Here is a 2,463-nt window from a genome sequence, read left to right as displayed (position 1 = left end):
AGAGACATAAACCTCCTCCATGCTTGACCTGCAGTTGGTGATCACAAGAGTATTTCTTGAACGAGTGAGCACATGAAACCGGTCAAAAATAACGAGCAGAGCGCCCGCTGTTGAAAGGGGCGGAGTCCAGGGAGTCACATTAGCTGCTCTCCTTTCAAAAGCATGGGCAGCACCCGCCCCCAACCGAGGGCCAAAGCCGGGGAGCCTCTGAGCCACAGTGGCTCTACCCACTTACGCTGCATATTGCTGACTCCCACCCGGGAAACAGGCTGCTTGACAATGGACCTCTTTTTATGGTGCATTAAGCCGCTGAACAGATTCACAGGAATACATTGTCTGAATGTGCAAGCCTGGTTCCTGCTCAGCTGGAAGCACTTAGAAACGTCAGACACCGAGACTACCCTGGCTGGCTCCACCTCCGGTTACCAGCTACTTCCCTATCTGAAGCTCCTTTTATGGCTCTGCCACCCTAAGTGAGCTCTGAAGATGAAGGAACAGCGGTGCCTCCAGGGTTACCCACCAACTAGTCCCAGTGGCCTGGGGTTTACTTTCCCACGCAAAACCCAGGCCCTGTCTGGTCTGCCCCAGAGTGGAAGATGCCAGGGTGGTGACCCTGCTTGCTTGCAAGGAAAGGGAAGTTAAGGGCATGGGATAGGAGGCAGAGAACAGGAATAGAGTCAAAGTGAAGTCGGCTACATATCTACTCAAGCTGGACATACTCGTGTTCTGTGACCCATAGATTCTTGAGTGGAAATGTGACATACATTGGCCAAAGACATGCACTAGAATGTCCGTAGCAGTCCTGTTTGCAACAGTAAAACCTGCAGGTTACCCAAATATCCACCCACAGTGAAATATATAAATACATATAAATTGGGGACTATTCACACAATGTATTCAGTAATGAGAATGAGCACTCTATAACCACATGCAGTGACCTGGATGAATTTCATAACATTGCGTGTAAGAAGCCAGACTCAACAGAATTCACTCTTTGATTCCACTTAATGTGGAAAAATAAGCAATCTGTGCAATTACAAGTCAGAACAGACCGGGCGCAGTAGCTCACACCTGTAATCCCAGCACTTTGGGAGGCCGAGGCGGCTGGATCACCTGAGGTTAGGAGTTCGAGACCAGCCTGGCCAACATGGTGAAACCCCGTCTCTACCAAAAATACAAAAAATTAGCTGGGCATGGTGGCAGGCGCCTGTAATCCCAGCTACTGGGGAGACTGAGGCAGGAGAATTGCTTGAACCCAGGAGGCAGAGGTTGCAGTGAGCTGAAGTTGCACCAATGCATAAGAGTAAAACTCCATCTTAAAAAAAAAAAAAAAAAAAAAAGAACAGTTGTTACCTTTGGGTAACCACTAGAAGAGGACGCTGGAGGAAGGGTTTGGGGGTGAAGACACTGTTCTCTTTCTTTCTTTGGGTGCTGGTCACAAAGGTCGGTTCAGTTTGTGAAAATTCATCAAGCCATTCATTTCTAATACATGCGCTTTTCTCTATGCGTGTTATCCCCACAGATAAGCTGGTAAATGTTTAACTCGCAAAAAAAAAAATTTGTTTTAATTAAAAAGCCCTTAATTGTAGCATTTGTCAATTCCTGTGGTGTAAATATTTCTACCATGGTTGATTACATGCTACGAATGTGGTGTCAATTCTGAGTTGGGCAAAGAGACATATGATTGGTTCTTGCAAGCTCAGTTGAGCCAGCTCCAGGAGACCATTGGTTATACTTCAACAAAGAGATCTTTTGAAAAGTAAAGTCTTCTAAAATGAGAGGTGAAACTGAATGCTGGACGGGGTAAGTTCCTTCTTGCTTGGTATCCTGCTAGCACACCCATCACCTACTTCCCCACCTCTCTTTACTCTTCAAAAAAAAAAAAACTTACCTTTATTGAGATAGAATTCATATATCATACATTTACTCATTTAAAGTGTACCTTTTGTTTGTTTATTTTTGAGACAGGGTCTCTCTCTCTCCCAGGCTGGAGTACAGTGGCATGATCACTGCTCACTGCAGCCTCAACCTCCTAGGCTCCAACGATCCTCCCACCTCAGCCTCCCCAGTAGCTGGGATTATAGGCATGCACCACCACACGAGGCTAATTTTTAAATTTTTTGTAGATACGGGGTCTCATTATGTTGCCCATGCTGGTCTCAAACTCCTGGGCTCAAGGGATCCTCCCACCTCAGCCTCCAAAAGTGCTGGGATTACAGGCGTGAGTCACCACACCAGGCCTAAAGTGTACATTTTAATGGTTTTTGGTATATTTGCAGAATTGTGCAATCATCACCATAATTTTAGAACATTTTCATCACCCCAAAAATAAGACCCCTACCCATCTCACTCCCCATCTTCCCCAACCCCTGACAACCACTAATCTCCTTCCTGTTTCTGTAGATTCGTCTCTTTTGGACGTTTCATAGAAATGGAATCATATGATAGGTGGGCCTCTGTGAC

At 45.9% G+C, this 2,463-nt stretch overlaps 1 annotated feature.

Annotated features, from left to right (window-relative positions):
- Nucleotides 286–335: an enhancer, noted in NCBI's record as "active region_27979". NCBI's record gives its function as "activates an Ori minimal core promoter by ATAC-STARR-seq in GM12878 lymphoblastoid cells {active_cell/tissue: GM12878}" and the evidence as "EXISTENCE:reporter gene assay evidence [ECO:0000049][PMID:35858748]".

The sequence above is a fragment of the Homo sapiens genome, chromosome 8 (genome assembly GCF_000001405.40).
Source record: "Homo sapiens chromosome 8, GRCh38.p14 Primary Assembly".
NCBI lineage: Eukaryota > Metazoa > Chordata > Mammalia > Primates > Hominidae > Homo > Homo sapiens.
This window is presented reverse-complemented; position numbering and strand designations above follow the sequence as displayed.